The 19,389-nt window shown below is 53.8% G+C and overlaps 1 long non-coding RNA gene across 1 annotated transcript, besides 6 other annotated features; it reads left to right on the top strand.

The window, feature by feature from the left end:
* Positions 1-1,220: 1,220 nt before the first annotated feature.
* On the top strand, positions 1,221-12,281 carry LOC124905146 (uncharacterized). Its single transcript, XR_007068152.1, has 2 exons — positions 1,221-6,822; positions 9,502-12,281. It is a non-coding gene; the product is annotated as an uncharacterized LOC124905146 (long non-coding RNA).
* Positions 4,986-5,716: an enhancer, noted in NCBI's record as "H3K27ac-H3K4me1 hESC enhancer chr22:50118265-50118995 (GRCh37/hg19 assembly coordinates)". NCBI's record gives its function as "activates a minimal SCP1, AML or CMV promoter by ChIP-STARR-seq in naive H9 embryonic stem cells {active_cell/tissue: H9 hESC(naive)}" and the evidence as "EXISTENCE:reporter gene assay evidence [ECO:0000049][PMID:30033119]".
* Positions 5,717-6,447: an enhancer, noted in NCBI's record as "H3K27ac-H3K4me1 hESC enhancer chr22:50117534-50118264 (GRCh37/hg19 assembly coordinates)". NCBI's record gives its function as "activates a minimal SCP1, AML or CMV promoter by ChIP-STARR-seq in naive H9 embryonic stem cells {active_cell/tissue: H9 hESC(naive)}" and the evidence as "EXISTENCE:reporter gene assay evidence [ECO:0000049][PMID:30033119]".
* Positions 11,037-11,549: an enhancer, noted in NCBI's record as "H3K4me1 hESC enhancer chr22:50112432-50112944 (GRCh37/hg19 assembly coordinates)". NCBI's record gives its function as "activates a minimal SCP1, AML or CMV promoter by ChIP-STARR-seq in naive H9 embryonic stem cells {active_cell/tissue: H9 hESC(naive)}" and the evidence as "EXISTENCE:reporter gene assay evidence [ECO:0000049][PMID:30033119]".
* Positions 12,176-12,896: an enhancer, noted in NCBI's record as "OCT4-NANOG-H3K4me1 hESC enhancer chr22:50111085-50111805 (GRCh37/hg19 assembly coordinates)". NCBI's record gives its function as "activates a minimal SCP1, AML or CMV promoter by ChIP-STARR-seq in naive H9 embryonic stem cells {active_cell/tissue: H9 hESC(naive)}" and the evidence as "EXISTENCE:reporter gene assay evidence [ECO:0000049][PMID:30033119]".
* Positions 13,618-14,338: an enhancer, noted in NCBI's record as "H3K4me1 hESC enhancer chr22:50109643-50110363 (GRCh37/hg19 assembly coordinates)". NCBI's record gives its function as "activates a minimal SCP1, AML or CMV promoter by ChIP-STARR-seq in naive H9 embryonic stem cells {active_cell/tissue: H9 hESC(naive)}" and the evidence as "EXISTENCE:reporter gene assay evidence [ECO:0000049][PMID:30033119]".
* Positions 14,339-15,060: an enhancer, noted in NCBI's record as "H3K4me1 hESC enhancer chr22:50108921-50109642 (GRCh37/hg19 assembly coordinates)". NCBI's record gives its function as "activates a minimal SCP1, AML or CMV promoter by ChIP-STARR-seq in naive H9 embryonic stem cells {active_cell/tissue: H9 hESC(naive)}" and the evidence as "EXISTENCE:reporter gene assay evidence [ECO:0000049][PMID:30033119]".

Here is a 19,389-nt window from a genome sequence, read left to right as displayed (position 1 = left end):
GGAGTCTTGCTCTATTGCCCAGGCTGGAGTGCAGTTGTGTGATCATGGCTCACTGCAACCTCAAACTCCTGGGCTCAAGTGATCCTCCCACCTCAGCCTCCTGAGTAGGTAGGACCACAGGCATGCACCACCATGCCTGGCTAATTTTAAAAATTTTTTGTGGAGATGGGGTCTAGCCATGTTGCCCAGGCTGGTCTTGAGCTCCTGGGCTCAAGTGATCCTCCCCGCTTGGCCTCCCAAAGTGCTGGGATCACAGGCGTCTCTCCTAAAAGTATGAAAAATTAGCCAGGCGTGGTGGTGCACGCCTGTCATCTCAGCTACTCAGGAGGCGGAGGCCTGAGAATCGCTTGAACCTGGGAGGCGGAGGTTGCAGTGAGAGTTAGCCGAGATCGTGCCACTGCACTCCAGCTTGGGGGACAGAGCAAGTCTCCATCTCAAAAAAAAAAATTATTTGCTGGGTGTGATGGTTCATGCCTGTAATCCCAGCACTTTGGGAGGCCGAGGCTGGAGGGAGGATCAATTGAGCCCAGGAGCTCAAGACCAGTCTGGGCAATGAAGTGAGACCCCATCTCTACAAAAAACACAAAAATTAGGCAGGCATGGTCCCCGTGACTCGGGAGGCTGAGGTGGGAGGATCACTTGAATCCAGGGAGGTTAAGGCTGTGGGGAGCTGAGATTGTGCCACTGCACTCCAGGCTGGGCAACAGAGTGACACCTTGTCTCAAAAAAAAAAAAAAATTATTGAGGACTCCAGCAAGCTTTTGTTTATGTGGCTTATGTCTACTGATATCTACCCTATTGAAATTAAAACTGAGAAGTTAGACCATATTCATTCATTTCCATATAACAAAAGTAAACCTATAGCATTTGAACACATTTTTGTAAAAAGAAAAATATTTCAATATTTCAAAAAGAAGTTGGGTGCCAAGAGTGGCCATGTTTCCCGATTCTGAGATCTCCTTTGTGTAGCTGGAGCCCACACCTGCTCCCGGGGCTGGGGCTGCGTCTGCCTGTGCCTGCTATCCCGGGAGCAGCGTGCGGGCTCGGCAAAGACTGTGCTCCCTGCCCTCAACCACGGAGAGGCCCTCGCTGTCTGGAGCAGGACGGGAGAAAGGGGCGCTACAGACCATGGCTTGGGGGATCTAGAGGGTAAGTTGGCCCAGTAGATAAGGTCAGACGAAGCCACCCAGGCTCCGCCGGGCCAAGTGTGATGAGTACGCAGGGCACGTAGCCACCTGGAGGCCGTGCACTCGCCGATGTGATGCGGAATCGAGGTGTCACCATGGCTGGGCTGTGAGGAGGACACTTGAGTCCATGGGTGAGTAACGCAGTGGTCCCTCCCCAGCGTGCAGGGCCTCCTTGGGTCTGTCGGAGGCATGGCGCCTTCTGCCTGGACATGGGCTCGTCCTGCCTTCAGATTTGGACCAGGACTAGAGCTTGCAGCACTGGCTCTCCCAGGCTTCTGGTTCCCCTGGCTGGCTGGCTCCCCCGGGTGTCCGGCTCTCTCGGGTGTCCGGCTCTCCCGGGTGTCCGGCTCTCCCGGGTGTCCGGCTCTCCCGGGTGTCCGGCTCTCTCGGGTGTCCAGCTTGCCAGCTGCAGATGGTGAGCTCTCAGCTTCCTAACTGTGGGAGCCAATTTTTAAAAATAAACCTCTCTCTGTGCACGACCCCCTGGCTCTGTTCCTCTGGAGAACTCTGACTAACACAGCCAACATCTGGAGAGAAAGCAGGGCCTCCTCACCCTGAACCAGGTTGGTGTATACTTTTCTTTTGAAGGTTTAAACTTACTTTCCCTTATAAGGGTCCATTTTACATGATTCTTCAACAAATTCAACAGAAAACAAATCAGCTTCTGAGCAGCCCCTGTTCTGTGCCCCGGGCAGAGGAAACAGATGTTACAGGGTGAGTGGAGGTGGAGAGGAGCCCCCCACCCAGGGGGAAGCCCCTCACGACTTGTGGCTGTGGGAAGCGGGGAAGGAGGTGGGGAACTTCCTCAGAACAATGGTTCACGGGGCCGGGGAAACCTCTCGGGGTGAAGCAGGACCTCCTCCAACTCAGTTGTTGCCTCTGATAGCCGAGCTCTGTTTGATGTTTCAGAATTACTGAGATGCTAGAAGTGGATTCAGACAAGTCTGTGTTTTCTCTGCTCTGGTTCCTGTGAGGTGTCCCTTCCCCTGGGGTCTCAGTGACTGTCTCCACTGCGTCTCCAGTTAACGGAGGGATGGAGACCCCTATTCCAAACATGCAGTCCCCATGGCCACTTCCGAATTGCCGGGTCAGAGCTCACAGACAGCTATCGGTTCCCAGGAGGGAGCGCTGACTCCAGAGCCGGGGCTGCCACAGGCCTCCCACGAGGGCTGGGACCACTCCCAGCTTCCCCACACCTGCCCTGCAGAACACTTGCCCTGCAGAGGCTGCCTCAGACATCTTCTCCTTTTCCTCCGAAGAACTCACTCTCTCTCTAAACGGGCACTGGGAGCCACCGTGAGAGGGGCTGAAGTCGGCTTTGGGCAGGCGTCCCCTTGGCACCGCGGGGATGGGTACCAGCAGGGCCTGGGAGGACTGGGCTGGGGAAATGCTGGACAAAATTGAAAGGAAAGGACCGGATGGCCGATGGGCTGCGGGCAGGGAGCTGGAGTCTCATGGTGGCTGCGGTTTCTTGTTCCAGGGTGGAAGGCAGCGGTGCCTCCTGAGAGCTGGCCTGAGCTTGGCGTGAGAGGGCTGGCTCAGGCCTGGGACCAAGGCTACCTGGAGAGTGCGTCCTGCGCTGGGGCTTACAGAGGCTCTTACACACTCTGCTGAGCCACCAGATGTCCAGCCAGTCAGTGAGGAGGAACAGCTGGACCGACCGCGGCCATCAAGCCTTTACTCACTACGGTGGTGGCCACAGACCAGAGGCAGAGGGAGGCACTGGCTTCCGTGTCCCATTCACCCCACGGAGGGGACGGGTGAGGGTTGGCCGGGTGCAGTGCAGATGTGGGGATCGCCTCAAGAGGAGGAGCCCCCAGCAAGAGGCTCCTGGCAGAGCTGGGCACAGTGGCGGCTCACGTCTGCAATCCCAGCACTTGGAGAAGTCAGGCAGGAGGATCGCTGGAGGCCACGAGTTTGAGGTCAGCCTGGGCAACACAGCAAGACACTGCCTCTAAAAACAGTCTGGGGCCAGGGACAGGAAGGGCATGAGGGGAGGAAGGTGGCTCAGCTGCCACCCCCACCCCGCTAAGGAGGCCTCTGGATGTCGGTGCCTGGCCTAGGACTCTAGACGTGAGTGGGAGCTGGCCTTCTGGTGCTGGGGTGGCCGCTGGGCCCGGGACTGCAGCTCCCTGCAGACGCCGTGATGCGCTGGCTGCAGAAGACTGGTGCGGGGAGGGTAGCTTCCCCGAGGCCTGCCGGGCAAAGCCTCATCAGGCCTGTGGTTGGGGCCAGATTCTAATCAGGAACCAACTCATTAAATCTTCACAAAAGCCCAGTGCTGAGTTTCCACGCTGCAGACTGGGGTGGACTTGAGGGTTAATGCAGGTGGCCTAGCACCAGCGTCCAAGACGCTGACTTCCCCTGGTCCAGCCTGTCCAGCCGCTGTGGGCATCGGGTTGGTGGGACGCAGGTGGTGGGTGTGAGGGTCCGTCACTCTGAGTCATGCTGCCCCTTCTTGCTGAGTTGAACTCTACGCTGTGTGTTTCTTGCATCCCTCCCTCCCCTAGGAGCTGGGTTATCGTAGATCCTGGAATCTCTTACTTAGATCTTTGCCTGAAGTCTTCTTTTTTTCATGAGGGCAGCTGCACTGCACCCACACCATCATCAGAGGACCCCCTCGTCTCCTGGCCCCAGGGGCCACCACTTCGTCTATGGCTGGCCAGGGAAGGTGCCTCATCTTCCTGCCCACAGCAGGGCCAACTGGGGAGTCTGCATGAAGCTGGCTGCGGGGAACAGCGTCTTCCTCATGGCTGTGGGTAGGAGGGTTCAGGGGCCTGACCTGACTCAAAGAGAAGCAGGTTCATGGGGGCTGGGGGGCATGGTAGTGATAGTGGTGGGCAGAGGGGGAGACAGAGCGAGAGGAGAGACAGAAAGAGAGAGAGATCTGATAACGTCACATAAGCTCCTGGATCCAGCCATTCCTGAAGCCTCCGAGCCACCTAGCATTGGGTCCATCCACCCTGGGCTTCCCCTTCAGCTTAACCTTGGTTTCAGACACTAGCAACTTAGGCCCATTCCTAATTCTCCATTTTCAGCTTCCTCATGACATTTATACCACAGACAAAAGCAAATAAACAGATGGAACGCCAAACCCAGCCAATAAACCTTTTGTTTAAGCTCATTCTGAACCAGGAACCCATGCTCCTCATACCCTGCTGTGTCCTTGGTTTTCTCCAGGATGGTGCTCTGGGGATAAAACCAGACGACCCACCTGACACGCGGAGTTGCAGGGGGTCAGGTGACACGGCGGCTGAGCTCCGAGCCCAGATGACACCCTCACAGCCGAGCTCTGCCGTGCCCGTCCTTCGTGCACCCAGCCCATCCCTTCGGCTGCGTGTGACCCCAGGACCCGGGTTCCGGTTTTCAGGTGTTATTTCTGGTCAGTGGTTTGGATCCCTCCCAGGAGGGCCTGGGTGGCCAAGGCAGCGGGAGGTGCCCTGCGGTGGCACAGCGGCACTGTCTCCACTCGCTGTTCAGGTCTGGGACACACAGTGCTGTTGCTCAGCTGGAGACGGGGCATCCCAGTGACGGTCACCTTGCAAGGACAGGAGAGACCCCTGCCCAATGTTCGATTCAGATGTCAAGACTGAAGATGCCACACACACACCAGGAGGGTGAGAACGTCCCATCCCTTACACCACTGAGGTTTCCAGGGGAGCAGGAGCCCCCCGCCGCGCCCCATCCGAGCTGGTCCAAAGGCCAGGGTTTATCGTGATTGGGGTGGGGCCGGGGCGGGGGTTCCCCGGGATGCCAGGGGCTTCTGTGCTTCGAATCTTCTACAGGCACTAAAGTGAGGCCTGGCCGGTGTGGGGCCCAGGGAGGAGGGAGAGGGGAGGCATCAAAGCCATCAGCAGCCAGTCCTCAGACAGTGGAGTGAAATCCTCCCGACCCTCCCTCAGCCAGGCGGTTTCCAGTCCCACAAAATCCCCCGATAAATCAGGACCTTTGACTGGGACAGACCAGGGAGGCGCGGGGACCACCCGGCCGGGCTCCCGGGCGATTCTCAGGGGCTGGCCGGCCCGCGTGTCTCTGCACACCGGCTCATTCTGCAGACAGCGCCGAGTGCCGCTGTGCAGGGAGACGCTCGGCTGCGCGCGGTCCGGGCACAGTTCTCGGGGAGTCCAGAGGAGGGAGCACGAGCTCCAGGGATGAGCATCGGGGCCGGACTCAGCCGTCCGTGGCTATGGCTGGAGCGGCTGGTGTGAGGCTGTGGGACCGGCCAGGGGTGGGGTGGCCGGGGCTGTATGGAGCAGGGCCACCCATGCCCGGGTCCCGCGTGCGACTTGGGAGGCCACCCTCCCTCCCCGCTGCGAGGTGGGGAACACCGGGCGGGCTCCTGGCTCCCGTGGAGAGGGAGAGACCGCGGTTTCGCCCTGGAACGGGGCCGGCGGTCGGCAGGTGCAGGGCACGGACTCCCGTCATTTCTGACGGTCTCAACTCCCGCTTCTCCTTCTCCAAAATGCCCTGCATGTTTTTCTGTTCTGGAGTTCCTCTGGAAAATGCTGGTTCTGTTTATGTCCAAGTCTCCTTTTTCCTGGTCACCGGGGTCCCGAGGTTGCGGCGCCTGACGACATGCGTGTTGCAGAAGCTGCTCTGTGGGGACAGTGACCAACGGCGTTGCCACAGTGACCCGGCCATGATGCTTCAGGACAGGACGCACGGGGCAAACGCCTGGGCACCGGGGACGGGGCAGCGCCCTCAGGCAGGGTGTCCACGGGGTGCCCCAGGGCTGCCGGAACAAAGACCCCAGTACTGCGGGGCTTAAAACAACAGAAACGTGTTGTCCTCCATTCTGGAGGCCGGGAGTCTGACTTCAGGGTGTGGGCAGGGCCGCCTTCCCTGCGGTTTCCGGGAGAAGCTCCTTCCTGCCTCCTCTTCCGGCTTCCTGCCTCTTCCGGCTTCCTGCCTCTTCCGGCTTCCCGCCCCGGTGTCCCCAGGTGTCCTCAGCAGCCGCTGCATCGCTCCGGTCTCTGCATCTGTCTGCACAAGGCCATCTTCCCGGGCACCTGTTTCCTTTCTGTGTCCCCTCCGCTTCCTATATGGACACGAGTCATAGGACTGAGGGCCTACCCTGCTCCTGTGTGACCTCATCTAAACTTAATCACTCATATCTGCCAAGAATCTATGTCCAGCTACAGTCACAGTCTGAGGTTCTGGATGAACATTTTGGAAACTATTCAACCCACTGCATTACCCAGCTGTGGCTATATATATATATATACATATACATATTTATTTTTTAGTGACAGGGTCTCGCGGTGTTGCCCAGGCTGGAGGGCAGTGGCTCTTCACAGACACAGTCACCGTGTGCTACAGCTTCCAACTCCTGGGCTCGAACCATCCTCCTTTGTCAGCCCCATGAGTACTGGGGAGCACAGGTGTGGGGCACTGTGTCCGGCTGTGGTGACAGATGGAGCCCCCGACACAGGTTTGTAACTCAAGGCACTGACATCCAACCTGAAGGGCAAGAGCAGGGCAGCGAAAGTGCTGCAGACGGAGGCCGCTTCAAGCCTGGACACCTGCGGGAGAGAAACCCCCAGGAGCCAGGATCACCGAACACCCAAAGACGTCCCGCTCTGAAAAGAGGCTGCCGCCTCAATAAACAGGAGGAGTCACAGCTGAGAAACCAGAGGTAATCAAAGTAGTCAGAACTTCACAGTGAGTCCATTCAAAATTCAATCTTCAGAGAGATGAAGACAGATATCATTCATAAAACAAGAACAGAGTATTAGGAACAAGAACAACTGGCTAGACAAAGAACATAGTAGAAATTGTTTATTATGTATTTATTTTTGAGACAGGGTCTCACTCTGTTGCCCAGGCTGGAATGCAGTGGTGTGACCACGGCTCACTGCAGCCTCCACCTCCTGGAGTTAAGTGATTCTCCTGCCTCAGCTTCCTGAACAGCTGGAACCACAGGTGCATGCCACCACACCTGGTTAGTTTTTTCTTTTCTTTTTTTTTTTTTTGAGATGGAGTTTCACCTTGTTGTTCAGGCTGGAATGCAATGGCACGATCTCGGCTCACCACAACCTCCACATCCCAGGTTCAAGCAATTCTCCTTCTTCAGCCTACTGAGTAGCTGGGACTACAGGCATGCACCACCACGTGCGGCTAATTTTGTATTTTTAGTAGAGACTGGGTTTTCCGTGTTGGTCAGGCTGGTCTCGAACTCCCGACCTCAGGTGATCTGCCTGCCTTGGCCTTCCAAAGTGCTGGGATTACAGGTGTGAGCCACCACACCTGCCCCTTACTTTTTTTTGTACAGATGGGGTCACACTGTGTTGCCCAGGTTGGCCTCAAACTCCTGGGCTCAATGATTCTCCTGCCTCAGCCTCCCAAAGCATTGGGATTACAGGTATGAGTCACTGCGCATGGCCAAAATATTAAAAACAAAACATAATTTAAGTTAGAAGCTCACATGTGGCTAGAGGACCAGTGTCAGTGAAAGAGCATTTGTTCAATGTTGGAAAAATTAATAATGAAAAGACAAATAATTTAGTTGCAGTTCAAGATCCTTTAAGACAGCACTGGGTCTGGTTGCTGACACTTGTTTAGATTTGCACATCTGCTCATGAGGGCTGGCCCCATAGCCACCTTTCCTTTGGTCAGGTTTTGGCACCAAGATTACGCTGGCATCATTGTGCCAGCAGTGTGTGTTGGGCTTATTTCTTTCTTGAATGTTTGAAAAATTTCACCAGGGAACTCACCTGGCCTGGAGACTTTCTGTGAGAAAGTTTTAGGTTGAAGGTTCATTTTCTTTCTTCTTTCTTTCTTTCTCTCTTTCTTTCTTTCTTTCTTTCTTTCTTTCTTTCTTTCTTTCTTTCTTTCTTTCTTTTTTCTTTCTTTCCTTTCTTTCTTTCTTCCTTTCTTCCTTTCTTTCTTCCTTTCCCTTCCTTCCTTCCTTCCTTCCTTCCTTCCTTTCTTCTTTCTCTCTCTCTTTCTTTCCTTCTTTCCTTCTCTCTCTCTCTCTCTCAATGCAGTTTCACTCTTGTCGCCCAGGCTGGAGTGTGCCATGGTCTCGGCTCACTGCAACCACCACCTCCTGGGTTCAAGCGATTCTCCTGCCTCAACCTCCTGAGTAGCTGGGATTAAAAGCACCCGCCACCACGCCAGGCTAATTTTTGTATTTTTAGTAGAGACGGGGTTTCACCATGTTGGCCAGGCTAGTCTTGAACTCCTGACCTCAAGTGACCTGCCTGTCTTGGCCTCCCAAAGTGCTGGGATTACAGGTGTGCTCCACCAAACCTAGCCTGAAGGTTCATTTTCTTTAACAGACAAAAGATCATTGAGATGTTCTGTTTCTCTTGTATCACTTTTGTACATTTTCTCTATATTTGTTTTGCCATCTAAATTTTCAAATTTATTGGTTAATCAGTTAGCTTTTGTTGTGTAACAAACCAGCTGAAAATAAAAACTTAAAAAGGAAAGCAATAAGCACTCACGTAGCTCAGGACTCCGAGGGCCGGCACTTTGGGTGGGTGAGCCAGGCAGCTCTGTGGCCCCCGTGGCAGCGAGGCATCTCTGCTTCTGGGAGTCTCCAGTTAATTTTGGCAGAGCTGGGGGATTGAGCCCTTAGTTCTCCACCCGGGAGTCCAGTTGGGGCTTCTTTGCACAGCGGCCCTGGGGTCCCAGGATGTGCAAGCAGAGGCTCTGGGTCCCCTGGAGTTCAGGCTGGGAGCCCCCCGGGGGCACGTCTGACCTGGTGCCCCAGCAAGTGACCCACCCAGATTCACAGAGAGGAAATAGATAGACTCTGCATCTTGGTGGCAGGTCTCCCTCACATGGCCTCAGGTTGCCCACAAGCCCCGCTTGCTTCCTTTGGGGCCGTTGGCTCTCCTTCCGATGTGGGTACTCAGTGCATTGTCTTCATGTGAGTGGGCGACCATCAGAGGGACTTTAAAAAACTGGACACTTGGCCGGGCGCAGTGTCTCACACCTGTAATTCCAGCACTTTGGGAGGCTGAGGCAGGCAGATCATGAGGTCAAGAGATCGAGACCATCCTGGCCAACACGGTGAAACCCTGTTTCTACTAAAAATACAAAAAAATTGGCCAAGCATGGTGGCACGCACCTGCAATCCCAGCTACTCGGCAGGCTGAGGCAGGAGAATCACTTGAACCTGGGAGGCAGAGGTTGCAGTGAGCCAAGATTGAGCCACTGCACTCCAGCCTGGTGACAGAGTGAGACTGCATCTCAAAAAAAAAAAAAAAGACACTTGAGCATACCTCTGCCACAAAGACTGGGCTCGTTATGACTTTTACAAATTCTGGTAAAAATACATAAAATTTCCCATTCTGACCATGTTTAGGCCTCCATACCGTGAGTTGGCGCCAGGCGCAGGCCCGTCATTGTGTCATCATCACCACCCTCCACGCAAAGAACTTCTCATCGCACAAAAGCGAAATTCTGCCGGGAAGGACCTTGTATGTCACTGCCACGCTTGATGAGAGAGAACTTCTTATTTCTGTTTTAATCCTCGCCTCCTGTTCACACGGCAGCCTGTGCTTTGGAATTGCTCCAACCACAGCGTCTGCATGGCAGCCTCCCTACCTGCTCAGCTGGGAAGTGCAGGCCCCCCAGGGGTCCAGCCCAGGAGGTGGGGGCTGCTGGGCTCCACCCAAGGAGAGGAGCCTGTGCCTGGGCCCATCCCCCAGCCATGCCAGCCACACCCAGCTGGGACCTGCGGGACCCTGGGCACAGGCAGGACTCACCCCTGGAGCTGTGGCACGGGCAGAGGGGCCGGGCAGCAGAGGCCACCTAAGTCCAATTCCCCAGAATAGTCACTGCCACAAAGGGAGGCAGAGGTGGAAATCCCTCCTGGACTTGGGAGCTTTGTGAAATCGACGCTTAGTCAAGGTGATTCTCCCAGGAGCCTGTGTAGCTACCGGCAGATGCCGGGCACTCTCCTGCTGGCTATGCACAGAGCTTTCCCCACTATTTATCCAGTCAGCTTCTTACAGTCGTCACTTTCTCTAAATGTGAAAAACCACATGCGTTTCATATGTCTCTTCCTCAGAAATACCTGACTGCGAAGTGGAGACTCTTTCCCTCTCAGTATGTTCATTCTCTTGACAATGCCTGCTCCTTGCCTTCGTGTTCAAGCCGACAATGTTAAACACACACATTGAACACATTTATTGACATTTCTTCTTCTTTTTTTTTGAAATGGAGTCTCGCTCTGTCGCCCAGGCTGGAGGGCAGTGGCGCGATATCAGCTTACTGCAAGCTCTGCCTCCTGGGTTCACGTCATTCTCCTGCCTCAGCCTCCTGAGTAGCTGGGACTACAGGTGTCCGCCACCGTGCCTGGCTAATTTTTTGTATTTTTAGTAGAGATGGGGTTTCACCGTGTTAGCGAGGATGGTCTCGATCTCCTGACCTTGTGATCTGCCCGCCTCGGCCTCCCAAAGTGCTGGGATTACAGGCATGAGCCACCGCGCCCGGCCCAATATTTATTGACATTTCATAGAAGAGCCCTCAGCCACAACGCTGATTCTGTGGGTTAAATTAGTTCATACCCCTCCAAGTGGCAGTGATGTTCAGATGTGTCGCTCATGTTCCTGTCTCATGAAATGCGGGTAAAAGTGATGCCTGCAGCTGCCGTTTGCATGTGTTTGGAAATTAAGTGTGGGGTTACTGATAGCCCATCGAAGAGAAGGAATTACTTATTCCCTGTAATATTGAGACCTTTCCAGTTTATCCTGTAAGAAGGCTCTGGAGGACGTCACCGTGGAGAGAGCTGAGACTGCTGTTGACCTCATGGGTCTTCATGGGGAGGCGTGTTCAGCAGATCAACTTGTTAAAAGCATGAGGCCCTGGCTTTGAGCAAGTGGAGGATTTAGAGACAGACCAGAGTGGACTCACTGTCTGTTCTCCCCCAGGCAGTTTTGCTGCTTACAAGTATTTGCCTTGAGATGCCTTTAATCAGCTGCTTCCCTGCGGTTCCTGCGGGATCAGCCAGCTGTGAGCATCATCACGTGTGCCAGGCTGGCTGGGTCGTGATGCCATCTTCTCCAGTGGCCCCAGACTCAGACGTGTGGTCCGGAGAAGAGACACCAGGATAGGCAGCGGGGCAGCAATGGCTGTTCTGCTTTTGAGGCCAGGGGATGCAGCTCTGGGGCCCACTGCAGCCACTCGGCTGTGGGGGACAGAAAGGTCTCCCAGGTTCCACACCCTCTGTCCTGTCACCTTGCAGCTTTGCCCCCCAAAAGACATGGAGGCTCTTTCGTCACTCCTCGAATCTGGGCTGGGCCTGAGGCTTACTTTGGCCAATAGACTGTGGGGGAAAGAAGAATGTGCTGTCGTCTGGGGCCTCAAGGGGCCTTGCAAGTCTCTGCTCTCTCAGACCCCTGCTGGACCCGGGGGCTGGCCTGCTGGAGAATGAGAGAGGAGAGGGGAGTGCCCATTTGTTCCAGTCAAGGACATCCTAGGCCAGCTGACACCCAGCCGATTCCCAGACACGGGAGAGAGCCCAGCTAAGTGTGGCAGAACCGCCTTGGGACCCACAATGGACCTCAGACACATGAGTGGACCCAGCTGAGACCACACCTGCCCAGCTGTCCACAAACGTGTGAGCAGTACTACCTGTTTATCACTTCAGGCCACTTACCGTGGGTTGCTTGTTATGCAGCAGTGGCTGACGGATGCAACTGACCACTGTGAGTGGCTGCACAGATAGGAGTCCAGGCCTAGCTCATAGCAAGGTATTTCTGCAGTTTGCCAGGAAGGAGAAAGGAAGAAAAAGGAGAAGAAAGGGAAGTGGAGGGGAGGTGCAGGGCTGGGCTTCTGGTTCAAGCCCACAGGTGCTGTCCTCACGGGTGTTCTGTGGCTCCCGAGAGGGCGCAGTGGCTCTGCTGGGCTAGGAACTGAGCGAGAACTTTCCTGGTGCCTGAATATTAGCAACATTCCTTCCCAGCACTGACTGCAGAGGGTAAGAGCCGGAAACTACAATTTGGAAATTTAATTATATCTCCGGAAGAAATGTATGCTTCTTAGAATGATTTTATTCAAAAAGCCTTCAAAAAATAGAACCTACTTTTTCCCTATATTGTGATTAATTCAAACCAAATAAAAGGAACCGTTGAACTCTTATTGATACCCTACGGAGAGTTTTCATTTGCAATATCTGTAAACCCTGAAATCTCAATTTGTGTCAAATAAGCTCCTACAGGTGTGGTGCCAGGTTCCAGTGATAGCGTGTCACGTTTTGTTCCATTTAAATAAATTACATACTGTATCGCCCGGCATTATTCTGTCTCCTAATCAAATTGCCAATCAGGCGGGTCCCAGGCCTGATGGGGAGGAGACGGTGTGCGTTCCCCGGGGCAGGGCGCACACCACTGGCCGTAAGTTATGCAAATGCGCGGCTCCCAGAATGAAATCAAGATGTAAATAGGACTGTGGATTATGGTGATCAGCCTCGGCCTCCAGGGATGGGCTTGCCAAGCTCCAGGTGACTCGGCTGCTGCTTCTCGTGCGCAGCAGGTTTTCATTAGCACTTCCAAAAGCAGTGACCACGGCTGTGTGGGAGGGCAGACGGGCGGGGTCAGACCCCAGGGCACAGCCAAGTCCCCGGGTCTGCAGGTTGTGTGTGTGTGATGTGGACACGTGTGTGTACGTGTGTCATGCTGTTTGGGTGTGTGTGTAAGTATGCATGTGTGTGTGCATGTACGCACGTGTGTGTATATGATGACCCCTTCACATCTGTGGGCTCTTCGTCTGTGGATTCAACTAACTGAATATCAAAAAAATTAAAAAATAACAAAACAACAATTAAAAATAATAAAAATATATTAGAAAACCTGTGCCGTGTAACAACTGTTTACACAGAATTTACACTGGACTCGGTGTCACGGGGGGCCTGGAGATGATTGACAGCATCCAGGAGGATGTGCCTGGGTTTCAAGCAAATGCTGCACTGTTTTCGACAAAGGACGTGAGCACCTGCGGATGTTAGTGTCTGTGGGGGGTTCTGGAACCCACGGACACGGAGGGATGACTGTATGTCTTGTGTGGTGTGAACACGTATACCGCATGTCCTCGTGGGTGATGTGTGCCTAAGTTGTGTGCATGTGTGCCCTGGCGTGTGTGTGTGTGTAGACGTGTCATATTGCATGCATGCCTGTGTGGTGTGTGTGTGGCATGTGTCATACATGCATGTGCATAAGTGTCTCTGTGTGAAGTGGGTGGATTTAAGTGTGTGTGGCTCCTGCCCACTCTGGCACCTGCCCAGAGCCCTCGTTCCTGTGTCTGGTCTGGTCGCATGCCCGCTCAGGTGGCATCGCTGGCCCTCCCTTCCTGACCCTGGGTCTTCGTGTTCTTCTGTCCTAGGCCCCTGCCATCGTCCTAGATCTGGCCACTTGGGGCTGCTGGGCCCCACCTGCCTGGGCTTCCTCTTCCCTGGGCCGGATGCTCCTCTGAACCTGCCCAGAACAAGGGTTCTGTGCTGGGGCTGGTCTGGCGCTGGGGAGAAAGAGCCGGGGGGCAGGGCTTGGCAATGGGAAGCATCACAAAGCAGCGTGGCCCCACCCCTGGAGCGCTCCCCTCCCCTCTCCTGTCCTGAGATGCTGCTGCAGACTCACGTCTTCCTCCCCAAAGGTCCTGGGAGCCCAGCGAGGGAGCCCAGAGTGTCTACCATTCACAGAGAGCCTTTCCAGAGCAGCAGGTGCGCCGAGGACGGGGACTCAGGCATGCACCAGGTTTGCAGCACCAGCAGCAGCGAGGGAGGAAATCAGAGGCTTCTGGGAGGAGGAAGGTGGGCTGTTCCAGGAGACTCAGTAAAGGAGACGTGAATGTCAATGGATTCAGGCCCATCTCTGTGAGTGCAGAGAGGACCAGGGCCTGACAGAGCCTGATGTATTTCATGCGGACGTTTAACCGGGTCCCAGTGGGATCCAGTCTCTGCTGGGGGCCCTCAGGGCAGATGGTGCGGATGGCATCTGGCAACCTATGTGGTGGTGTCTTTTCCTAAACCACAGGTGCCGCTTCCTTCCCTTTACAGGTCAATTCTCTGATAAAATCAGAAAGCTGATGGCCAGGCATGGTGGTGTGTGACTGTGGTCCCAGCTACTCACAAGGCTGAGATGGGAGGATCGATTAAGCCCAGGAGGTGGAGGCTGCGGGAAGCCATGACTGAGACACTGCACTGCAGCCTGGGCAACAGAGCGAGACCCTGTCTCTAAAAAACAAATAACAAAACCAAAACAAAAGCAAGCAAGCAGAAACTGACGACTACTCAAACACCTGGGAAAATAAAACGTCGGATTCGAAGCGCCTTTCTCCCAAACCGGCTCTGAGATGTGCTGGCCTCTCCTCTCCAAGACTTGGGGATGAGGGCTGCAAGTAGTCTGGGACCACCTTCAGGTGAGGCTGGGCTGTGGGTGCTGGCAGGAGCCTGAGGACCCCAATGACACAGGCCACCCTTCACCGCCAGTGCGGGGGTGCACTGGCCTCCCCTGTGGGGCTGACCCTGCTCATGAAACCACACATTCTGAGCTAGAATCCTGAAAACACAGAACACAGAACAGCCTCTCCTAGGGCTGCAGTGTGACTCACCACCCATGGTGCTTTGGCCACTGTGGGCTCCTTGCGTCAGAATAATGTCAATAGTAAAAGTTACTTTGGACATAGCTAAATCTTTTGACTTGTTTTTTTTTCCATTATAGGCAGAATTCAATAGGTTTTCATGGGTGCTAAAATTTTCGTTTTGTTTTCCAGTGTGAGAAAAAACTAAAATACTTGCTTTGAATCTACAAGGTCACACTCCCCCACATTTTAAAAGAAACGAAAACATTTTCATGGGTCCCCAAAGCATCCTGGACGCTGCTGATGCCCTGTGCCCAGTGGGGAGTCGAGTCTGGCTTTATCGATGTGTAGCCGACATGCAGGAGCTGCTCAGGACTGAGCAGTGCGCACTTTGGTAAGGCTGGACGTGAAACCATGTCCACCATCGGGAGAATGAACAGACCGCCCCCTGAAGATTCTCTGTGCCCCTCTGCAGACTCCCTTCCTAGCCCACCCGCCTCCCCACACCCCTCCCCAGGCAACCACTGCCCTAAGTGCTGGGTGGGGCCTTTTTTTTTTTTTTTTGAGACAGAGTCTTGCACTGTCTCCCAGGCTGGAGTGCAGTGGCGTGATTTCAGCTCACTGCAACTTCCGCCTCCCGGGTTCAAGTGATTCTCCAGCCTCAGCCTCCCAAGTAGCTGGGATCACAGGCGCCCGCCACCACGCCCAGCTAATTTTTTGTATTTTTAGTAGAGATGGGGCTTCAGTATGTTGGCCAGGCTGGTCTCGAACTCCTGACCTTGTGATCCGCCTGCCTCGGCCTCCCAGAATGCTGCGATGACAGGTGTGAGCCACGCGCCCGGCCGTGTAGGGGCTTCTTTAGGGCTTTATGCCAATGGGGTCGTGTGCCTTGCAGGGTTTTAGCTTTTCCGTCCGGCTTCTTTCACTCAGCCTAATCATTTTGAAATTCATCTATGGCATCTTGTGTATCAGTCCTAAGTCTTTTATTTCTATGTCTGAGTACTGTTCCACCGCCTGGCTATAGTAAAACTTGTTTATGATTTTCCCATTGGGAACATTGGGCTGTTTTCAGGTTTTGGCTATTGCAAGGGGAGCCGCTGTGAACATGTGCGTGTTTTCACACAGACACATGGCGTTCACCCCTCTCGGCAGATCGCTGGCCACGGGATGGCTCAGTCCTGTAGGCGCATCCCCCTCACTTCCGCAGAAACCACCAAACTCCTCTCCAAAGTGCTAGAGCGGCAAGCAGGGTATCTGCCTCTCGGTATCCCCGATTCCCACCAGCCTTCAAATGCGGGAGCGGCAAGCAGGGTATCTGCCTCTCGGTGTCCCCGATTCCCACCAGCCCTTGATATGGCCCGTGTCGGAGTTCTGGGCATTCGAAAAGGTGTGGTCTAGAGATACTTCGTAGTTTGTATTTCTCTGATGACTCACAATGTTGAGTATCTTTCCATGTGGTTATTGGCCATTTGTATATCGGCAACATATGAATTCAAATCTTTTGTGCATTTATTTTTTCTTACTATTCTTTTATCAGATTTGTGATTCACAAATATTTTCTTCCGGGCGGTGGATTGTCTTTCCAATGCTTAAAAATGTCTTTAAAATTTTTATGAATTTATTTTTATTTACTTTTTTAAAGACAGGATTTCAGTATGTTGCCTAGGCTGGTCTTGAACTCCTGGGCTCAAGCGATCCTCCCACCTCAGCCTCCCACAGTGTTGGTTATTTGTTTCCTCTCTCTTTTTCTGTTATTAATTGGATAGAGATTTAAAATTTGATCGATCTTCTCTGAGACCTTTGCAAACACACACCCTCTTCTTCCCCTGCAGACTTTCCTCTGTTTGCAAAGTCTGACTCTCAGGATTCCGCCGGCCACGCTCTCCTGCTCCTCTTGCTCCCTGGGGGCTCCGTGACTCCACAGCTCCCTGTGCTTCTTAGTTCATTGCCCCTGGGATTAGGGAGGACGCCCTTCTGGGTAGCTGAGACTATGACCGAAGACCCATGCCTCTGAGCAACAGAGTCTTTCTTTTTGACAATAGAAAACTTTCCAGCAAGGGAGCAGACAGGCCCGGGGGCTTGATCACCCAAGGTGTCTTTGATAACACAGGGCGTCCTGTCCACCATGCCCCGAAAATCTCAGGCTGCCTCTCCATCTTCTCCCATCCAGCAGGAGCTCAGCGATGCCTGCCCGTCTTCTCCCATCCAGCAGGAGCTCAGCGATGCCTGCCCGTCTCCTCCCATCCAGCAGAAGTTCAGCGATTGAAAACTCCGACGGCATCTCTTAGGGAGAGGAGGGGCGGGGGTGGGAGGCTGCTGTCTGAAATGGGATGTCAGGAGGCCTGGGACTCTGCAGGCCCTGATAAGTGGGATTTATCCTCGGGAATGTAATGAGAGCTGACACCTATTTCTGACGCGACTGTATCATAGATTGCCGGGGCAGGATAGCGTCGCATTCCGAGCAGGCAGAGATGTATTTGCTGAAGGTGAAAATGTCATTTAAACTGTTGATACCTTTCAAATTGTCTTGGCAGGATGCCACAAGTAGCCCAGGCCTTTTCCAAATAAATATATACAATCTCCAATTCTGCGCCGAGGACAGGGGTGTGTGATTGTTGTGTTGACTCTGCTGCTCTTCCCAGCAATTCAAGCTCTCTGCGGAGGGAATTTGATTTTGTGTGATAAAGATGCATAATCAATATTGCCTCGAGGTTCCGGCCCTTAACTCAGACATCCTGAGCCTCCTGCTGTAGACTAGACCCAGAGCCCAGCCTGGAGCTGGCAGCTGCCTCAGTCCTGGTTTTGGAAGCCCTGTCTTTGTGTCAGAGGCCTCTGGGAGGAGGAAACTAAAGAGGTGACAGGTGACCCGTGGAGGAAGAGGGGGGCTTTAGTGGAAGCAGCTCTTGGTATCCATGAGGATTAGAAACGAGCTCAGTTAGGAAGTGAGCTTTCTGAATTCCTCCCTCAGGACAGTCGAGGCAAAGCCCTGGCCCCAGCCACAGCTCAGAGCCCACTGGGTCTTGCCACGGTGGCCACCATGTTGCTGTTCTGAGCCGTGCCCCGCCTCAACCGCTCTCTGGGAAAAGCCCTTCTGACCATGTTATTCAAATAGGGGACTGTGTCTCCCCATAAATGCTTTTAGAATCCCGAGCTTGAGAAAACTCTGGTTTGGGAAGGCTGGAGCTGGCCTGGGAGCCGCGGCCTCCACGCGAAAGGGGCTCCTCCTCGCTGCCCGGCCAGAGCTGTCCGTGGTGCTGACTTCAGGCCCAGCCTGGCCCGGCTCTGGGGCCAGCCTGTCTGCGGGCGGGCCGGGCTCACCTGTGTTCTCCCTGGCCACAGAGGGTGGGCCAAGAGGGCCCCGGATCCCAGCTGGGCCGGTTTGAGCCTCTCCCGGGGATTTGTATAAAAAGAGCCTTTTATTATAAAAAACTTCAAACATATTTAGAAAAAGCATTAGACCATCATCCGCTATACCCGTCTCCCTCTGGCAGGGCCTTAGGACGCTCTCATTTCAGAGCTCCTTTTGTTGGAACATCAGGGAAGCACCAAATCTCAGCATTTCATGGATGAGGCATTCCAGTTTGTATCTCCAAAAGACAAAAACTCCTTTTTAAAAGTAACCACAATATCACTCCCACATCTAAAAGTTGCCCACAATTTCTTCATATCAACAAATATCTGGTCAGTGTCCACATTTCCCCAGCCATCTCCCATCTCATGTTCTGCTTTGTTCGGTCAGGGCCCAAACCTGGCCTTGGGCTGCCTTGGCAGGTGGGTCTTGGGTGTGTCTCAGAGTCCTGTGGAAATGGCTCTCTTCCTTCCTTTTTCCCTGGAACATGTTGAAGAGGCCGTGTCGCTGGGCCTGCTGATTTCTCTACATTTAGGATTTTGCTGGTTGTGTTCTGTGATGCTGATTTCAGATGCCTTCTTCTGCCCTGAATTCCCTGTGAGGTTACAGTCAGATCGTGGGCCTGCTGGGCTTTTTTGGTGAGCAGCATGGCCCACGGCAGTCCTGTGCTCTTCATCAGGGTGCACTCAGTGTCCGGCAGGCCCTTGGCCACGTGACCACTGTTGACGGTCAGTGTCCAGACCCACCGTTGCCAGTGGAGTTTGCAAAGGTGTGAGCTTTAATTCCACTGTTCCTTCCCCACGCAGGGCTGGAATTCTTCTCTTAGGAGACACTTTTCCTCCTTGACCACTTGACTACTTCAAGATATCATTTGTGTAGGAAAGTGAGGTTAGGGCTTGATTCTTCCTTTTATTTACTGGTTTTCAAAAAACTAGGAACAGTGGGGTTTCTTTCTTTATTGTTTTGAACTAGCGGATTTTACAGAATTGACTCTTGAATCCTTTTGATGTGACGCAGCTCTGAAGGCTTCTTTTCTCTCTGCTATAACAAGATGTTCAAGGTGCCAGGTCTGTATCCTACCCCAGGCCTGCAATCAACCATTTCTCCAGGGAGCCTCATCCCTTCCACCACAGGAAGACACAGTAAGAAGATGCCATCTATGAGCCAGGAAGTGGGTCCCCACCACACAGAGCCTGCCAGCCTCCAGAGCTGTTCTTGGACTCCCAGCTTCCAGAGCTGTGAGTAGTGAATGCCTGCTGTTTATAAGTTATGGTAGTTCGCTGCCGTGGCCCAAACGGACGAAGCCATCACGTATGTGCCCAGCAC

The sequence above is a fragment of the Homo sapiens genome, chromosome 22, assembly GCF_000001405.40.
Source record: "Homo sapiens chromosome 22, GRCh38.p14 Primary Assembly".
Taxonomy (NCBI): domain Eukaryota; kingdom Metazoa; phylum Chordata; class Mammalia; order Primates; family Hominidae; genus Homo; species Homo sapiens.
The sequence above is the reverse complement of the archived record's forward strand: the minus strand, read 5'-3'. Positions and strand labels throughout refer to the sequence as shown.